Source organism: Homo sapiens, chromosome 6 (genome assembly GCF_000001405.40).
Source record: "Homo sapiens chromosome 6, GRCh38.p14 Primary Assembly".
NCBI lineage: Eukaryota > Metazoa > Chordata > Mammalia > Primates > Hominidae > Homo > Homo sapiens.
Genome location: NC_000006.12, coordinates 84,956,900 through 84,978,017, shown reverse-complemented (window position 1 = coordinate 84,978,017; position 21,118 = coordinate 84,956,900). Strand labels below are relative to the sequence as shown.

The following is a 21,118-nucleotide window of genomic DNA, read 5'->3' as shown; positions in this document are numbered from 1 at the left end:
CATCTGGGACCACGGTAACACCAGCAGATCTTATAAAGTCATGAGATCTTTCTGTGAAGTACATAGTGTCAGAGACTTTTTCCTCAAGATTCTGATGTTGAAATTATTTTTGGAGTCATTGCAGCATGGGATTAGATTTGACTCCACCATTTATCAGTTATGTGAATTTGGTTGAGTTAAATTCTGTCTTCCTCTATTTCCTGGGTATGAAATGGAAATAACCACCTCATAGGGTTAGAGTGAGATGATGAATGTTGAAAGCCTCTCACATCATAGACATGTGACAAATATCAGGTCCTTTCTCAGTCTTACAATAGGTTACACAGAACAGGTCAGGCTGATGGCCTCAGGCACATCTCTCTAGGCTCTACAGTGAAACTAATACCTACTAAATTAACGATGAAGACTTTTGGCATCCCACTTAATGTTGCTGTAAATGACTAAGTCTCCAAATAGCTAAAATAAGTTCTACTGGACAATCAAGATGACTTTTGCTTTTTTTCCAGCTCCTTGTACTATAATTCAATAAAAACTTTGGCAAGAGTCCAGAAGATTTGTTTAGACCTTGGAAGAACCCATGAAGATCACCATCCCTGCACAATAGCATTGAGTCACTATCATCCCCCAGCCCTACATTTATTATTCTTCAAGGTGGAGAGAGGTATGCCACATGCTAGGCTAAGCTATGACTAGGACCATTTCTCAGAACAATTCTCTACCAAGGAACCAATGCATAAAAAACAGGCACGTATCCCACAAGCCTCCCATTCACAAAGCTAAGAGACAGACATTTTACTACAATGCTGGTTAGATGCCAAACAGAAACAAAAAATAAACATAAGGTTTCTTAGGCAAACAAGCCCTGTCTGGTTAACATATGCTCGACACAGAGACAACTGTCCTTTCCATCCCTTCTATGGAGGGGGAAACATCAGCACCATGAGCTCTGCAGAAACCTCACTGGCTCAGAAAAGGAAAAGAATGTGGCTTTCAAGAAACACATTTTCATCAAGCTGAGCAAACATGGCTTTGACGTCAGGGAGGGAGTATACACATGGGTAACAAAGGAGATGCACACCCATAGGGATTTTGTGGTACCTGGGTGACTGCCCAGAGCACTAAATCCTGGAGTTGAGAATCCCTTTGAAGACCCTTCACAATGCCTGGGAATTTCAAAGAATATCCTCATAATTCAGAAAACCCTCCAAATGTCATTTTACCTTGTTCTTTTGCCTCCCCATTGTGCTGGCTGTCCCTGGTGACAGACTGCAGCCCAGCCATAGCCTGGGGGAGGGAGTGGGTTGCAGCAGATGTGCACATCTGGATCACCTGCCCCTAACCCAGCACACTCCAACTTCTCCATGGCTTTGGCTTCCACAGGACATTTCTCGGGGTGGCCTCCTCTCTGAGGTAACTGAATCTTTTAGAATGAGGGTTTAACTACTGATTAAGACACTCTGTAATATTCAGGCTGTTCAGTAAACTACATTTAGTCCTCTTTGGGGTATGGAATCTTGCTCATTTCCTTGTAAGTAAATAATTGGTTCTTGGATTGTAGTCCTCCTAACAAATGGACAATACATAGCTTGAGGTATTGGGAGAACTAAGGGCATCTTTTGCGTTCTGCTATGTAAGTAATCTAGGCAAAAGGCAGTTTTGATTCTAATTCTACTTTCCCTCTGTGGGTTTTACACACAGTTCCTCTGAATACAGAAGGAAATTCAATATCTGCATGAGTGACATTCAACCCTGTCCTGCCTTATTCAGTTCTTTTGTTTTTAATCATTAAATGGCCAGCATACAATGACATTGCACATCTGTTTCTGGTCTGGGAAGATCAGTAAGGATGGGGGTGACTGAGAGCTACATTAGGTGAAACAATTACAAAGAAATGTTAAAAAGTATAAGTGTACCATTTCCCCACTTAACCTAATACATCCAGCATTTGCGAAATGATAATGTGAGGCTCGGTTGATGTGGTGACTTTTGGTGATGCATTAATGTCAAACAAATGGCACACTTTGCAATAACCTAGCTGGAAAGACTGCCTGCTGGGAGAGGTGTCCATGAGTGATGGCAAAAGCCATTGGCATTTGATGGCTGAATTTGCCCCTGTGTGACTTTGAATGTGTGAGTGCTTCTTTATGTTTTGTCTTTAAAAACAACCTGGTATTTTAATTAGCATTTGGCATACTTTTCTGTATGGGATTCTAATTATCTTAAAGACCCTTGGTAATTTTTAAAAGCAACAGACTTATTTCCAAGTAGCTTAAGCACTAGAAGAAACTAATATATTAATATTCAGCCCAATGGAAATGCAATTTCTAGTTTGAAGAACAAACATATGTTGAGAATTGCAAAAGTCAAAGTCCTCCAAACAAGGTTAAGTTGTTCTTTAATACACTGAGTGTATGTATTTAGAAGTCTGGGGATTTACAATTGGCAAGAGGACTATAACCTTCTTTTTTTTTCTGGTTTGGTGTGTGTAAATTTGTAGTGCAAGTGTTTCATTTCTCTACACATTTGCATTTAATTTGCCGCTGATTTTAATGTGAAACAAAGAAAAAAATTAGTAGGTAAAGAAATCCTGTTTCAGAATAAATGCATTACATTTTGAGGACCATGCTAAGATTTTCAGTTCCATGTTGTAACAGTGCTGTAATCTCAGGGAAGTATGTGCAAAAGCCTGCTCAGAGCATGAATTTTGAGCTTAAAGTAAGCATTTCTAAAGATTCCAAATAGTTGAGAGAGCCCAATTCTGCATTATAAAATAAGACTTTATCTTTATCTCTGTCTTATTTCATTGTTTAGAAGTATAGGCTATCACTTTCCACCCAAATTCTTTCACTAAATCACTGGTGTAAAATACATGGCTTCTACCTTGTAATAAGAATGACAGTATGCATACTTTCTCCTTTTCTCCCACCTTTCACTTTTATAGAGCTTTTTTTTCCTAAAAAAAAAAAAAAAAAAAAAAAAAAAAAAAAAAAAAACTTGCCACAATGGACTGAATGTTTGTGTCCCCCAAAAAATCTTGTGTTAAAATCCTAACCCCCAATATATTAGGAGGTATAGCTTTCACAAGGGTGGGGCCTCCAGAAATAGAACTAGCGCCTTTATAAAAGGGCACTAATAGAGAGCCTTCTTAACTTTCTTTCCACCATGTAAAGATACAAGAAGTTATCAGTATGCAACTCAGAAGAGGGCCCTCACTGTTACCCAACCATACTGCCACCCTGATATTAGACTTCCAGCCTCCAGAACTGCAAGAAATAAACTTCTGTTTATAAGCTATGGTACTTTGTTATAGCAGCTCATACCAAGACACTTGCCTCTTGAGAAACTTAAAAAGGGGAAGGCAAATCATTAAAAGAAAGGAGTATGACACTGCAGTGACATTTAGGTTCAGAGTGATTTACAGGTTGCCTTTGGGAAAATTTGGGAAGTCTTACACATTAGAGATTTGACTCCATAAGGATATTTTTTCATTATTAGGGTCAGTGCCTTAGAGATTGATTTGGCAGCCACTCAAATAACAGAAATCATGAAACCTAAAGCATCTTCTCTACTTTAAAGGAGCATATGCAGTGGAAATTTGGGATGAACTTTATCAGGCAGTGAGAGTGCATGGACTCTCCGTGGACCTACTCTGGGCTTCACTGATCCCAGCAGGTGTCTCCCCAGCAATGCTGTACACAAGATAGCCTATCGTGGGGTGAGAATAAAAATAGAGAGGAAAAGGACACATTTTTGATGTCACTGTTTATGGAACCCAAATCTTTGGTCTTCAAAGGTCTTAGCCTCATAGAGCTGTGGGCTGTTGTTTTTCGTTTATTCCCCTAAAAGAATGTAGAGGGGAAATATTACAAATATCCCCTGCTTTGGCGTTTGATTTTTTAAAAAATTAATAAAAACAGCTCCTAGCAGCTGGTTGAAACAATTATGCTCTTCACAAAAGTCTTTGCAGATGACACTGAATGTTAAGAAAATAATTCTTTCAATTAGTGTGTGGCCACTGCACCTGTGAACTGTAATCATCCAAGGAAACATATCTGTGAGTGTCAGTAAGAACAATTCAGGAATTCATCTACTCTGCCTTCTTCTATTGCCATGTTCACACAGATGTTAATCCCGGGGGTGCACACACTGAAAGGGCCACCCGCCTGTATCCCAGGAGCATGAGAAACCTGAGTGCAGATCAGGAAAATTATTAATTTCCAACTGTCTGCCATCAGTATCATTTCTCTTTGTTTCTAGGGCCACTATGTTTTGTTATTGTTGTTGTTTCCCAGGGAGCATAAGCATGCAGTAGATTTATTGTTCTATGTTTCCCCATATAAAGAAAAAGCAAGTTTTGCTGTTAAACATATTTGTATTCTATTTGCTGCTTCATTTCCAGTATTTTTAATAGTTCTCTAGAATTTTTTTCCTTTCTTTTTTTCTAAACTCTTTTCAGTTACAAATTGTTAAGAGAGTAAGACAGCTTTTTTGTTTTTTTAAACTATGATACATAATTCATTCATAATAACTATGATACATAATTTATTCATATTAACTAATGAACAGAAATGTATTGTGAACCAATACATTTCTGTTCCTTATATATTAGCCAATCTGTGTTATTCTATTATGGCAGCAAAAATGGACTAAGAAAGAAAGTAAACATGAGTTTCACCTTGTGCATCAAGCATTGAATTCCTGAATAACAAACCCCTCCAAAACATTATGACTTAAAACAACTACCATGCATTAATGCTTACAAGTATTCAGGTTAGCTGATAGTTCTGCTGTCTGGGCTGGCTCAGCTGATCTTGGCAGGGCTTATTCATCTGTGGTCAGCTGGTGGTTCAGTGGGCTGGCTTAGTCTAGGTTGGTGTTGCTTACATGTCCAGTGATTGGCTGGCTGTTGGTTGGAGTAATGAGGATGGCCAAGCCACATTGTCTCACATCATGCAGAGGGCTAGCCCAGGCTCATTCAGAGAGTGACAACGATCCAGAAGTAGCATGGAAGACATATTAAGGTCCAAGCACAACTGTCAAAAGGTCCCTTATGCTGTGTTTAATTGGTCAAAGCAAGTCATAAGGTCATTCCAGATTACAGAGGCAGGGAAATAGACTCCACCTTTTAATAGGAGGAGCTGGAAAATCACATTGTTAAGAACATAGGTGAAGTATAGGGCAGAGTGAAGAATTGAGGCTATTTTTGCAATCACATTTAAAATATTTTAAAATCATGATCTAGAAATTAAAATGTCACATATTTGCACCTTACTGAATTTGGGAAACCTTGCCCATGAATCAGTTATTCCCTGAAAATCACCTGGTTCTACCTCAATACATCATAACCTCTAAGGCAACATTGTGGATTAGGAAAAAATTGTGTTATAAAAAGGGGGGCTAGGCCGGGCATGGTGACTCACACCTGTAATTCCAGCACTTTGGGAGGCCAAGGTGGGAGGATCACTTGAAGCCAGAAATTTGAGACCAGCCTGGGCAACACAGCAAGACCCTATCTCTAAAATAAAATTTAAAAACTCAGCTGGGCATGGTGGTGTGCACCTGTAGTCCAGCTTTTTAAACAATGTACTACTCAGGAGGCTGAGGCTGGACAATTGCTTGAGTCCAGGAGGTTGAGGCTCCAGTGAGCTATGATTGTGCCACTGCACTTCAGCCTGTGGGACAGAGTGAGAACCTGTTTCAAAATAAAAGTGGGCAAGGGAGTACCACTGAGGAATTTCTCAAATCCTTTAATATTAGTGTGCCTGTGAATGGTCTTGGCATTTCCCAATCATATTTGACCTTTTTTCATGGAGTCACACGTATTCCAAGGAAAGTGCTGCTTCAGGATGTGTTTCTGATCTTGGACATTCACCCATGGAGTGCAAGTATGGTATTCTATAATTAGAGACGGAATGATAAAATAAGATGGACAAAAGTAAGGGAGGGATGTTTTCATTCCCGTAACATGTTCAGCTTTCCCTGTGAGGGAGGTCCCAAGAAATGAATGTCTCTATATAGTGTCATTGAATCCTTATTATTGGAAGGGTCCTTAGAAGTCTCCTAATGAGAAATCCCAGACTTTACACTCCCACATGGCTTGCCCAGTGCCACACTGCCAGTAAGTATTACAATTAGATATCACAGCTTCAGCTCATTTATGAAGTGGGTGCTCAACAAAAGATGACTTTAAAAGATTCATTTCTTAGTATGAAAGCAGTACTTTTGTTTTTAGCAATTAAGGTAATCTAGTCATAAAGATGTTGCCAACTATCTTTGTAACACTGGACAAATGACCATTCTGGCTTCAGTTCCTTTATTAGCAAATTAAGGAACCTAAAATAATAAGGTTATTATTATAAAAGAAATGTATTTGTCACTTACTGTGCAATGGGTAAGTTAACCAGCACTTTCAGGCAACAAATCATCTAGCAAATATTGTACTCCTATGATGTGTTAGCAGGTTTTCCAGGAACTGGTCTGCAGAGAAGGCATCTGTTCCTAGGAAGCTGTCATTTTAAGGGGGAATACAGGAGTGTCTGATAATAAGGAAAGAACTATAATTAAGAAAATGTGAATAGTAAAAAATACAACTATAGCCTTTTTATTCATTATCATGGACGAGAAAGTTACGTGTCACATTGCTATATCTTATTGTGTTTTAAATTAGTGAAATAAATTAGGGAATAGGGCAGTGATCTGATAGGCTACTTTTATATTAAGAGATTGGATATGCCACAAGGAAGTGACATTTAAACTGACTTAAATGACAATAGGCCAGCATGCAAAATGCAGCGAATATTCCAGGAAAATGAAACAGCGGAGATAAAGCCCTTGAGAGTATTTGAGAAATGGAAAGAAAGTGAATACGAGTGAGACTGAGTAGATGATAGGTCAAATGGTGACCAGATGAAGCTGGAGTCAAGACCTGAGGCCAGATCATGTAAGACTGTCAAAGCCAGGGGAAGACATTTATCTGGGTTTTATTCTAACTTCTGAGTAAGGTTTTATGCAGGGGAGTGGTATGATCTAATTTACATTTTAAATGTATTAATCTCTCTATTGTGTAGCACATAGATTATAGGGAACAAGAATAGAAACAAGGAGATCAGTTCCTGGGCTATTGCAGTGGTTTAGGTGAGAAACGGTGGTGGCTTGCCACAGGGTGGTGGTGGCAGGGATGCAGAGAAGTGAACGTATTTGAGAGATGCATTGGAAGTAGAGTTGAGATGATGTGGTGATGGTGCATTAAATGTGGGGCGTGCAAGAAAGAGAGGAAGCAAGAATAATTCCTAGGTTTGGAGTTTGTAGCAATTGGGCAGATGTGGTTTTATTTATTCAAGGAAATGAGTGAATTAGAAATAGAGTTCTGTTTTAGCCATATTAGGGGTGTATGGCAGGTTGTATATTCCAAAGTGGCCAGAATGCTCCTCTGCAATGTGACCTTGCTGTTCACCCATCAAGAGGTGTAGTCGCATCCCTTTCCTATAAATCTGCATTGGCCTTAGAGACTTGCTTATATCCAGTAGAAGGCTGTGGCAGTGATGCTGCCTAACTTTCAAGGATAGGTCAGAGGAAGCTTTGCAGAGAAACACTTGCTCTCAGGATGGTCCCTCTTGGGCCTCTCTTAGAGCCCAGTTGCCACAAAAAGAAGCCCAAGCCGCATGAAGAAGCCCCATATAGGTGGTCTGGTTGACAGTTTTAGCTGAGCCCAGCTTTTTAGACATCCCAGCCCAGACGCCAAACATGAGAGTGAAACCTCCAGATAAGTCTAGTCCCCAGCCATTCAAGTCACCCTGGCTGTTTGAGTTTTTCCAGCCGAGGCCCCAGACATCACAGAACAGAAATAAACAAATCTTGCTCTGACCTGTCCAAATTTCTTACCCACTGAATCCTTGGACATAATGAAATCGTTATGGTTTTACACCACTAAGTTTTGAGTGTTTCATTACTCAGAGACACATAGAGCTGTGTAAGATGATTTCACTAGATATCTAAGCAGAGATATAAGTAGGTTGTAGGGTATTTAAGTCTTAATTTTTAGGGAGTAGAGATACAGATTTGAGAGTTTCAGTATCAGTCAAAGTGAGAGCAACCAGGGAGAAGTCAAGGGGTCCCAGTACCCAGCAGAGCACTCCAATATTTAGAGTTCAAGCAGAGTGGATAGAGTTGGCAAAGTGACTTGCAAGTATGGAAACCACACATCCCAGCTTGCCCAGGACAGCTCCTGTTACATCTATTGATCTATTGGTTTAGCATTACCTCTGTTGGGAACTTTTTTTTTTTTTTTTGAGACAGAGTCTCACACTGTCGCCTGGGCTGGAGTGCAGTGGCATCATCTTGGCTCACTGCAACCTCTGCCTCCCAGGTTCAAGCAATTCTCCCACCTCAGCCTCCCAAGTAACTGGGATTACAGGCATGCGCCACAATACCTGGCTAATTATTTGTACTTTTAGTAGAGATGGGGTTTCACTATGTTGGCCAGGCTGGTCTCAAACTCCTGACCTCATGATCTACCCACCTGGGCCTCCCAAAGTGCTGGGATTACAGGCGTGAGCCACCATGCCAGGCCAGTAACTTTTTAAACAATGTACTATCATCATTCATAGTTGCATGAAAATGAGCAGGAATAGGAAGACCCCCCATTTTGTACTTCTATCTTCTGTTGTGACATCTGTAGTGCATAAATATAGGTGTAAGTTCACACATAAACGGGTAGTTACATCTGAAAGTTGAGCAGTAATAGATAACCCAATCCTCCTTTCCCAGCTGATTCTAGAATATATGTAATATTCCCTTTCTAGACAGCATGGAGTGGGCTTCTAATAAACTGTGTAAAGACACAAGTGACCAGGACCAGCTAACTGGCTTCAGTGGTAGTGAGACATATTCGTTGCTGTTGCTCCTGTCAGTCACTTGTTCATGTCCTGTGAAATAGCCAAGGGCTTGAGGCTACCACCTGATAAGGTCAAAAAGAAACATGTGAGATAGGAAACAGAGGCCAAGCAGTCCTGCCTATAGAGATAGTCAGAGGGCTCTTATTATAGTGGATGACTGTTTTACAGTAGGAGCTATAGCTATTTACTTTTCTAATGTTAGGTTATACTTTTAAAATTTTACAATAAACCCTATAGCAGCAATGAGCTCAAAAGGTGAAAGTGCACGTTTACTTAAAAAGTAAGACTTGAACTTATGTTGAAAAAGTAAAGTGGTAAGAGTGTAACTTGCAAAATATATATTTTTTGCCAATATATACCATCCGTGATGGGGCCATAGTAATATTCATGACCCCATGAAAGGTAGATGACAAAATCTGCTGAGAAAGCACAAGTGTCTACTTCCAAAGCGAGTAGTTATTCTAAGAGGGCATATCTGCTAAAAACTACATAACGCATGAAGCTGCTGAAGATGGGTTTACATATGTAAGACACAGTGAATTTCTCTGAGTTTCTCTTCAGGGATTTAGCCTGCTAACTTCCTTGTCTTTTGTTCTCAAACTCAACTTTCCTGTTCCTCCTTGCCCCTAGTTACTGTCAAACAGCCTACCCCTTTCCTGTCAGCTCTAATCAATAACTCACATCTGTTCCCTTGGTTACCTGTAGTCATTGTTCCCCTGAAACTGCACATCTCACACGGTCCACCTCTGTACCTCACATCCCCGTCCCCTTCTATATTTAGAAAAATATGTACAAGTTGCCAATCGGGTCAGCTCAGATTGTGTGGTCCGACCCAGCTGATGGGGGAGTGACACAGAGGTAGGGACTATGTTAAGAATAAAAAAAGCCCCTGGTCGTCTTTGTTCAGTGTGCTCGTGAGATCTTGATTGATGCAGGTAGCACCCTTCTGCAGAAGTAAATTGCCTTGCTGAGTGCTGGTTTCACTTCACGGCATCAAGCATTTATTCCTAAAGCATTTTATATCCAACAATTCTGGGGGCTCGTCCGAGATCCCCATTCTCTTTCTGAAAGGGGTCTTCCATCACCCTACCCAGAGGAGATGGCGTCCCACTGCCCCGTTGCAGTGGCCTCAGGTACAAGAGATTGAGACCCCCCCGTTGAGACAAATGAACCCGGACTCTCAGCGATGCGGGGAGGAGAGGGTTGCAATACCACAGCAACCAGGTAAACTCTGTGCTCAGACAGAATGTAGGAAACGTCACAGGGGCAACAAAGCACTTCCTTGGTGGTTAGGGGTGGGGGTTGGGGCATTCCGGAGGCTGAGTGCATGAATGATAACAAGCACTACTGCTGTACGGAGTGAGTGAGTCTAATCTGCGGTTCCGAGGTCACTTCATAAGGCTTAGGGTGGCCCTTCAGGGGGTCCCTTCAGGGGTTTATTCTGACCTGCCATCAATGCTAAGAGGGACCTGCAATATTCCCGCGAGGAAAGCAGTCAGAGCAGACAAAGCAAAAGAAGGATGCAAGAAGACTCCAGCAGGTGGAGCTAAAGGATAGACGAATTGAGCCTTAGCAAAGCTTCCAGTGGAGGATAGGCAAGAGACCACCAAATATGAAGGGTTAAGCAACAAGGAACCCCCCAAATAGGCCAGAGATCCCTAACATGAGGGGTTGAGCCACAGCAAGCTCCCACTAGGCAAGAGATTCCTAATACGAGGAACTGAGCCTAGGCAGGGCCCTGGATGGGAAATATTACAAGCAAAAAAGATAAAGTTAGCAACAAAGATACCTCCTGATAGTCCCCTAGGTCTCGTGTTAAAACATTAGAAAGATAATTAAAATATTAAACATAAGAAGAGCAACAAATGATAAAATACTGCTGTTCCAATTGGACTCAAGGATCAATCCTTGAACCCTTAGTTTTCTGGCCAGAATTTGGGTTGAATGAGGAATGGATTTGTGAACTTCTAATAGAAAATGTTGCTAGTAGAAGACCTGCCTCCCAAGAGGAAATAGATTATGCCCTATGTTGGTGGCAAGGCCTTGTCCTTTCCCCTCCTCCAAGGATTGAAAGGAGCAAGTCAAAAACTAATCTTTGGAGGAAAATTAGTTGTACATGCGCCCCATTAAGGACAGAATCATCTTGAATGAAAAAGACAGTGAAGGAAGGGTCTTAGGGGATCCTAGCAAAAAGAACAGCACACAGGATCCCCTAGACCATCCCCCACCTAATACACCCCCCCCTTCCCCTCAGGTATCACTCCATAAGTCTGTTCTTCCCCAGCCTAAGTCCCCCTCCTCAAAAGGACTCCAAGCTCCTAAGTTGCCAGGTGGCTTTTGTCATCAAGGATCCGCCGCAACATGTTGTCAGAGTTGTACGGCCCATAGTGCACCTCCACGGCAGCCAAAGTCCATGCTCCTGCCCCACCAGCTGGTCCAGGGTCCCAGCACCATATTGACGGTGGCTCTACAGGACACACAGCCTGGGCCACAGCCTGTGCCCCGAGCAGACTACATTATAGGTCATCTGCCTTACTTTTGCCAGCGCCAAGTAATACGGGGCTTCAGCTGAGGCTCCAAGCAGCTAGGCATCTCTGCAGCTAAGTTTCCTGAGCAAGAAGTAGAACTATCTTTCAGCTGGTATATCTACTAGCATTTATTGTGGTCAGTCCAGTGTTAAAGGTGGAAGTATCCACCAGAAAAGAACTTTGATTCTTTAAAGTCACTTATATTAAAATGTGCCACCAGAAAAAAATTACAAATGTATAAGTATGAAGCTATTCTGTTAAAAAGGATGGTTTAACATTAACTACTAAGAACTTAACCTATCACATTTCTTAACAAGAGATCCAAATCTAAAAAGAAAGCACACATGTTTAGATTTAAGTGAGTACCATACAAACATCTGGCCAAACTTAAGAAAAACCCCCTTCAAAAGTGATTAAGGGAAAAAGAACACAATAAGTGTTCAGTAATTAATAAAAAAAAGTTCCTAGAGAAATAAAATCAAAGTGTTTAATAATTAGTCTATTCAAATTTATAAGCTGTCTGCACTTAGTCAAACTTTAAAGTACCTGCAGGACCCAGAAAGAACCATCTATACTAATTCTAAATACGCCTCTGTGGTAATTCATATATTTAGAAAATTTCAGACTGAATTAATAGTAAAAGTCAAAGCCTTGTTTATGAGGAGTTAATCACGTAAGTCTTAAATAACCTTCAGTTACCAGAAAAGAAAATAGCTATTGTCTGTGTCTCCAGGTACCAAAAAGCCTGTCTTTCAAGAGTCAAGAAAATAACCTAGCAAATCAGAAAAGCCGGACTGGCTGCCATTTCTCCTGTAGGCGCTAAAGAGAACTCAGAGAAATGTTATTCAAACCTCTTATGAAGGAAGTCCTATCCCACCTACATTAGAGGACCCATTAAAGACCCCAAGCCATGTATAGCACACTCAAAGTTTATGAGTGTATAGGAATTTATACCCTCAGCCAAATAAGTCTAGAGACTTGGTTGCCAGAGATCAAATGTCTTCTATCTTCCTATTCCAAACTACCTCTCAAAACAATCCACTGCCAACATTCCTACATACTTGGTTTATCTTCCACTTTCTCTTCCCTCAGAACTCAAAATTTTCCAGTACAGGCGCTGCCCCTAGAGTTCCCAGTACATCAACACCAGCCTGAGGAGCCGGCCTAGTACTTCCCACCACTGAAACCGCAGTCCAGGCAGCAAGAAAAGATGGAGCCATCACACCCGAGTCAAGAAAGCAACACCATTCCTCAAGTTGTGGACCATTATCCAAGGGAAAATCCCCCTCAAACTAAGGTTAAGAAAAGTCTAACCTCTTTTATCTATTCTATTACCCTTTCTTCTTTCCTCATTCTATTGCTGACCTTGTTATCAATGTAACTAATTTAGACTCACCCCAAATCATTAACTTTGATGCTTGCCTTGTTATACCTTGTGAGAAGGATGAATACTGGCAAAGGTATGTCACTACCTTAGAAAAATACCTCTGCCCCTTCAGAGAAGCTGCTGACCCCACACCTTGCTCATGGTGGGGGTACCAGGGCACCCCAAGTTGAGAGATATGTTCTCAATGGGCAGATGTCATCCTAACTACCAGAGAACACGTTGGGACCTCCCCAGAAGGCTGTACTGACCTAAAATCTTACCTCTGCCTCACCAAAAGAACCAACTCCTCTAATTGTCAACTTGACTATTGTAACCCGGTAACTATCTCTATTAACACCCTTAACCTCCACCAACCCTGCACCCCCTTTAGAATGCTTTTACGGCTCAGGAGCAGAGGCCAATGGATATGACCCTACAGTCTTCTTTAAAATACGCTTTATTGATCCCCCTTCTCCTTCTCCATCAGAACCTTCTACCCTACCTAACAACAATGCCAACATAAATATTGTAGAAGTAAAAGATTGAAGACAAACCCTAGCAATTGAAACAGGATATCAAGATGTTAATGCCCGGTTGGAATGGATTCAATATTCAGTCCGCACGTTAAACAAAAGAAATTGTTATGCTTGTGCACATGGCAGACCAGAGGCCCAGATTGTCCCCTTTCCACTAGGATGGTCCTTCAATAAACAGGCATGGGCTGTATGGTAGCTCTTTTCCAGGATTCCACAGCCTGAGGCAACAAATCATGCCAAGCTGTCTCTCTGCTGTATCCCAAAGTCCAACACCCTGCGGGTCAGCCTCTGAGCACCACTCAGCTTCTATCTCCCAACGTCAATTTCACCTCATGTCTCTCAGGACAGGGGGAGAATTTGGTGTTCCTTGGAAGCTTAACGGGATGCAGTGAGCTTAAGCCCTTCCAAGAGCTTACCCATCAGTCTGCCCTTAGTCATCCTCGAACGGATGGATGGAGGTATTACAGTGGACCCTTATTAGACACTCTGCCAAGTAACCGGAGTGGCACTTGTGCTCTTGTCCAGTTGGCTGTCCCTTTCACCCTGGCAGTTCATCAACCAGAAAAAGAAAAACCACAACACTGAAAAATAAGAGAAGCCCTTTATGGGTCTTTTGACTCTCAAATGTACATAGATGCCATTGGAGTCTCACAAGGAGTGCCTGACATGTTCAAAGCCCGTGACCAAATAGCTGCAGGATTTGAATCCGTATTTCCATGGGTAACTATTACTAAAAATGTAGCTTGGATAAATTACATCTATTATAATCAGCAGTGGTTTATTAATTATGCTAGGGATGCTATCAAAGTAGTAGCTGACCAATTAGGGCCTCCTAGCCAAATGGCTTGGGAAAACAGAATAGTTCTGGACATGTCGTTAGCCGAAAAAGGTGGAGTTTGTGTGGTGATTAAAACCCAATGTTGTACCTTCATCCCAAACAACACTGTGTGCGAAGGGAGCATAACAAAGGCTTTACAAGGACTTATCGCTTTATCCAATTAATTAGCTAAAAATTCTGGAATCAATGACCCTATTCCAGGATGGCTAGGAAAGTGGTTTGGTAAATGAAAAGGAATCATAGCCTCAATTCTTATTTCTCTTGCAATCGTAATAGGTGTACTCATTCTTGTTAGGTGTTGTGTCATACCATGCATCCGTGTGCTAATACAAAGGATTGTACAAACAGCACTTACTAGAGCCTCCCTTAGTTCTGCTACACCTTATTCAAGTAAGCATTTCTTTTGAGAAGATCAAATCGAACAGCAAAGCCAAGACATGTTAAAAAAAAGTTTGAAGAGAAAGAATCATAAGAAAATTTAAAAGGGAGGAATTGTAAGATACAATGAATTTCTCTGAGTTTTTCTTCAAAGATTTAGCCTGCTAACTTCCTTGTCTTTTGTTCTCAAACTCAGCTTTCCTGTTCCTTCCTGCCCCTAGTTACTAAAAAACAGCCTACCCCTTTCCCTTCAGCACTAATCAATAACTCACATCTGTTCCCTTGGTTACCTGTACCCATTGTTCCCCTGAAACTGCACATCTCACACGCTCCACCTTTGTACTTCACGTCCCCCTCCCCTTCTATATTTAGAAAAATATGTATAAGTAGCCAATCGTGTCAGCTCAGATTGTTCAGTCTGACCCCAGCCCATGGGGGAGTGGCACAGAAGTAGGGACTGCGTTAAGGATAAAAACCCCCTGGTCTTCTTTGTTTGGTGTGCTCTTGCAATCTTGATTGACACAGGTAGCACCCTTCTGCAGAAGTAAGTTGCCTTGCTGAAAGAATTAATCTTTTGCCTGAGTGCTGGTTTCACTTCATGGCACCGAGCATTTATTCCTAAAGCATTTTATATCCAGCACATACCACTCGGTGAAGTATGACTTTCCTTGTAGATTAAATGGCTACTATTCTAATTAACTTCACTCATTCTTTAAACAGCTTTATTGAGGTAAAATTGGCACACAGTAAGCTAAATGGATTTATAGTGCACAATTCAATAAGTTTTGATATACATATATATCCCTAAAACCATCCCTACAGTCAAGATAATGAACACATCCATCACCCTAATAGTCTGTTCATGTCACTTTCTGGAGCACAGGCTTTTCATTTTGGGCTCACTCTAGTGATTTGTGGGAATAGCTGAGGGCAAAATTCATGCTTAATCACTGTATTCTCCACCACCACACAGTCATAATAAGACAAAATTCTAGCTTTACCTAAGAATGTTCTTGTGAAGCAATTAGTGTGTTAATTTACTAAATCTCATCCGTTGATCATACATCTTTTTAATATTCTGTGTGATAAGAAGTATACACATAAAGTATTTCTGCTGTATCTTCAAGTATGATGGTTGCCTTGAGGAGAAGCACTTGGTGATTGAGTTGTAAGCTGAACTCACAACCTTTTTTCTGGGACACTATTTTCTTTTTACTTGAAATATTGAGTGACAGAAAAATATGGTTATTTGGACTTGTGTGCTTGGCAGACATTTTCTTGAAAATAAATGAAATGGCCTTCTTGTTTGAAGGACATCTTAACCATATTTGCTGCTAAAGATAAAGTTTTAGCTTTCAATGAAAGTTAAGATTTTGGAAAACTCATATCCGACATTGTGATCTAGAAATCTCCTAATACTTAAAAACTTTTCTGAAGAAATCAGTGATGATATTAGCAAATGTGATTTTGAAAAATATTGTGTAAAGAAATGTATCAACATTTGGAAGATCCGCATACTTTAATGAACCAGTATTTTCTTAATGACCAATGCATGATGTTATAAAACCAGGCATGGGTAAAAAATATTTATTCAAAGTGCAAATAGACCAATGGATTTTGACGCAACAGACTTGAGTTCATTAATATGATTTTCAATTTCACAGTGTAACCATCATTTAAAGAAACCCTTCCGCCCAGCATGGTGTCTCAGGCCTATAATCGCAGCACTTTGGGAGGCCAAGGCAGATGGATCATTTGAGGTCAGAAGTTTGAGACCAGCCTAACCAACATAGCAAAACCCCATCTCTACTAAAAATTACAAAAAATTGGCTGGGTGCAGTGGCTCACACCTGTAATCCCAGCAGTTTTGGAGGCCGAGGCAGGCAGATCACGAGGTCAGGAGATCAAGACCATCCTGGCCAACATGGTGAAACCCCATCTCTACTAAAATACAAAAAGTTAGTTGGGCATGGTGTTGTACGCCTGCAGTCCTTGCTACTCGGGAGGCTGGGGCCGGGGAATTGCATGAACCCAGGAGGCGGAGACTGCAGTGAACTGAGATAGTGCCACTGCATTCCAGCCTGGCGACAGAGCGAGACTCCATCTCAAAAAAAAAAAAAAAAAAAAATTACAAAAATTAGCCAGGTGTGGTGGTGCACGCCTGTAATCCCAGCTACTCAGGAGGCTGAGGAACAAGAATCACTTGAACCCAGGAGGCGGAGGTCGCAGTGAGCCAAGATTTTACCACTGCAGTCCAGCCTCCAGCCTGGGTGACAGAGCAAGACTATCTCAAAAGAAAAGAAAAGAAAAAAAGAAAAGAAAAGAAAAGTGAGAAAGAGAGAGAGAGAGAGGAAAAGAAAAGAAAAGAAAGAAAAAAGAAAAGAAAACAAAGAAAAGAAAAGAAAACAGCCTCATCAAATTTTGGTGTGGTATAAAAGAAGAGTATTCTCAATTGCCAAATGGCTATTAAAAATACTCAGCCCTTTTCCAGCTACATATCTCTGTGAATTTGGATTTTTTTTTTGCTTCCTTCAACAACAACAAAAAACCGTAATGCAACAGATTGAATGCAGAGGCAAATATAAGAATCCAGCTTTCTTCTACTTAGGCAGACATAAAAGAGATTTGTGAAATTGTAAATGTTTGGTGTCCTCAAAGTACTTAGGTGTATAAAAGTGTCCTGAGACCCAAAGTGCGAGAACCTCTGTGGGTTTAACACTGAGTTAAATCCAGGTATATTGTGTATTATTTGATTCTCACAAGAATCCTAAGAGGTAGACTTTATCATCCCTATTTTCTAGATGGGGCTAAGAATCTCAGGTTAAAAAACTTCCCTAATGATTTGTTCCTTTGACTCTCTAATGCCAAAATGTATGGCTTCCCAGAATTCGTGTTAAAGCCCAGTTAGTCTCATCAAGGATAATGATAACCAAGGGACACAGACTCAAAGTCTGGCTGTGTATCACCTTGCCCACTCTGCTACCTCATTCCTCAAGGAAATTTACTGGAGAAAAGTTCAGTACTTTATGGGAGACAAGGCCCAATTTCCTGGACTTCTAGGAGCTGGGACTTGACTGGCAGCAGCTTGCTTTTCCTACCCGGGATTGACAGGAGCCAATTATCAAAGCAGCTTCCCACCCCTGGAACCCTGCATTGATTGGCTCCCCTCAAGCCTCCATTTCCAGCTGTCCTCCTCCACTCAGGCCAGTTCTCTCCCTCCAGCATCGCATCTGAGTGATGCATAATCTCCAGCCAAAGCCCTATAGCCACCCCTCTTCTGCCACATCTTCACCAGCTTCTGGTGGACCCCTCAATTCCCACAGCCAGAGCTGCCCTGTGGAATGCCCCACCAGTGGGCTCTTGCTCTGGTTCCTTCTTAGGAGGCTTTTCTGTGGATGCATTCAACATCCTTTTCTCCTTATTTGGGACCTGACTTCCCTTCTTGATGCCATTTCCCTCCATCTTAAGAACATAATGTGTCTACTTGAGCCCCTAGAAGTCTGGGCTAGGACGAGGGGCCAAGAGGAATCTAACTTCATCTGCTAGACCCAGGACCAACCTCCATTCTTCCTCCACGCAGAGCCTTCACCATGTGCCTAAGCCCTCTCCCTCCCATCCTTGGAAGTGCATCTAATAAGGCAGTGCATCTCATGACTGCAAGACCACCCCCATAGTCTTTTGGGGTCTCTCTTCCAGTTTCTTCTGTACCCCATACCTTCCCCTCCTCTTAGGTGATTTCACTTGAAATTATTTTATGTTAGCATTATTTTTTTCAGTGCTGTGACAGGTAGAAATTGGTATATTAATCTGTTCTCGTGCTGCTAATAAAGACATACCCAAGACTGGGTAACTTATAAAGAAAAGTTTTAATGGACTCACATTTCCACGTGGCTGGGGAGGCCTCACAATCATAGCAGAAGGTGAAGGAGGAGCAAAGTCATGTCTTACATGGCAGCAGGCAAGAGGGCATGTGTAGGGGAACTGCCCTTTCTGAAACCATCAGATCTCATGAGCCTTATTCACTATCATGAGAACAGCATGGGAAAAACCTACCCCCATGATTCAATTACCTGGCATCAGGTACCTCCCTTGACACATGGGGATTATGGGAGCTACAATTCAAGATGAGATTTGGGTGGGGATACAATCAAACCATATCATTCTGCCCCTGGCCCCTCCCATGTCTCATGTCCTCACATTTCAAAACCATCATGCCTTCCCAACAGTCCCCTAAAGTCTTAACTCATTTCAGCATTAACTCAAATATCCACAGTCCAAAGTCTCATCTGAGACAAGTCATGTCCCTTTGGCCTATGAGTCTGGAAAATCAAAAGCAAATTAGTTACTTCCAAGATACAATGAGGCTAAAGGCATTGGGCAAAGGTTCCTATTCCAAATGGGAGAAATTGGCCAAAAAAAAGGGGCTACAGGTCCCATGCAAGTCTGAAATCCATTGAGGGCAGTCAAATCTTAAAGCTCCAAAATAATCTCTTTGACCGTATGTCTCACTTCCAGGTCATGTTGATGCAAGACATGGGTTCGCATGGTCTTGGGCAGCTCTGCCCTGTGGCTTTGCAGGGTACAGTCCCACTCCTGGCTGCTTTCACAGGCTGGTTGAGTATCTGTGACTTTTCCAGGCACACAGTGCAAGCTGTTGGTGGATCTAACATTCTGGCACCTGGAGGATGGTGGCCCTCTTCTCACAGCTCCACTAGGCAGTGCCAAAGTGGGGAATCTGTGTAGGGGCTCTGACCCCACATTTCCCTTCTGTATTGCCCTAGCAGAGGTTCTCCTCGAGGGCTCAGCCCCTGAAGCACACCTCTGTCTGGACATACAGAACTTTCTATACATCCTCTGAAATCTAGGTGGAGGTTCCCAAACCTCAATTCTTGACTTCTGTGCACCCACAGGCCCAACACCATGTGTAAGTAGCCAAGGCTTGGGGCTTGCAAACTCTGAAACAACAAGCTGAGCTGTACATTGGCCCCTTTTAGCCATGGCTGGGACTCAAAGAGCCAAGTCCTGAGACTCCAAAAACAGCAAGGCCCTGGGCCCGGCCCATGAAACCATTTTTTCCTCCTAGGCTTCCTGGCTTGTGATGGGAGGGGCTGCTGTGAAGACCTCTTACATGCCCTGGAGACATTTTCCCCATTGTCTTGGTGATTAACATTTGGCTCCTTGTTACTTATGCAAATGTCTACAGCTGGCTTGAATTTTTCCTCAGAAAATGAGTTTTTCTTTTCTATCACATAATCAGGATGCAAATTTTCTGAACTTTTAGGCTTTGCTCCTTTTTTAAACCTAAGTTCTAATTCCAAACCATATCTTTGTGAATACATAAAACTGAATGCTTTATTCTCTTTGAAGTATTCAGTTTTATGTATTCACAAAGATATGGTTTGGAATTGGAATTTAGGTTTAAAAAAAATACCTAGGAATCCAACTTACAAGGGATGTGAAGGACCTCTTCAAGGAGAACTACAAACCACTGCTCAATGAAATAAAAGAGGATACAAACAAATGGAAGAACATTCCATGCTCATGGGTAGGAAGAATCAATATTGTGAAAATGGCCATACTGCCCAAGGTAATTTATAGATTCAATGCCATCCCCATCAAGCTACCAATGACTTTCTTCACAGAATTGGAAAAAACTACTTTAAAGTTCATATGGAACCACAAAAGAGCCCGCATCACCAAGTCAATCCTAAGCCAAAAGAACAAAGCCGGAGGCATCATGCTACCTGACTTCAAACTATACTACAAGACTACAGTAACCAAAACAGCATGGTACTGGTACCAAAACAGAGATATAGATCAATGGAACAGAACAGAGCCCTCAGAAATAATGCCACATATCTACAACTATCTGATCTTTGACAAACCTGACAAAAACAAGCAATAGGGAAAGAATTCCCTATTTAATAAATGGTGCTGGGAAAACTGGCTAGCCATATGTAGAAAGCTGAAACTGGATCCCTTCCTTACACCTTATACAAAAATTAATTCAAGATGGATTAAAGACTTACATGTGAGACCTAAAACCATAAAAACCCTAGAAGAAATGCTAGGCAATACCATTCAGGACATAGGCATGGGCAAGGACTTCATGTCTAAAACACCAAAAGCAATGGCAACAAAAGCCAAAATTGACAAATGGGATCTAATTAAACTAAAGAGCTTCTGCACAGCAAAAGAAATTACCATCAGAGTGAACAGGCAACCTACAGAATGGGAGAAAATTTTCGCAACCTACTCATCTGACAAAGGACTAATAACCAGAATCTACAATGAACCCCAACAAATTTACAAGAAAAAAACAAACAACCCCATCAAAAAGTGGGTGAAGGATATGAACAGACATTTCTCAAAAGAAGACATTTATGCAGCCAAAAAACACATGAAAAAATGCTCATCATCACTGGCCATCAGAGAAATGCAAATCAAAACCACAGTGAGATACCATCTCACACCAGTTAGAATGGTGATCATTAAAAAGTCAGGAAACAACAGGTGCTGGAGAGGATGTGGAGAAATAGGAACACTTTTACACTGTTGGTGGGACTGTAAACTAGTTC

General features: G+C 41.5%; 1 long non-coding RNA gene across 1 annotated transcript; it reads left to right on the top strand.

Moving 5' to 3' along the window:
* The first annotated feature begins 10,213 nt into the window (after positions 1-10,213).
* LOC105377881 (uncharacterized) lies at positions 10,214-16,283 on the top strand. Its single transcript, XR_942746.2, has 3 exons — positions 10,214-10,253; positions 12,515-12,719; positions 16,205-16,283. It is a non-coding gene; the product is annotated as an uncharacterized LOC105377881 (long non-coding RNA).
* Positions 16,284-21,118: the final 4,835 nt, after the last annotated feature.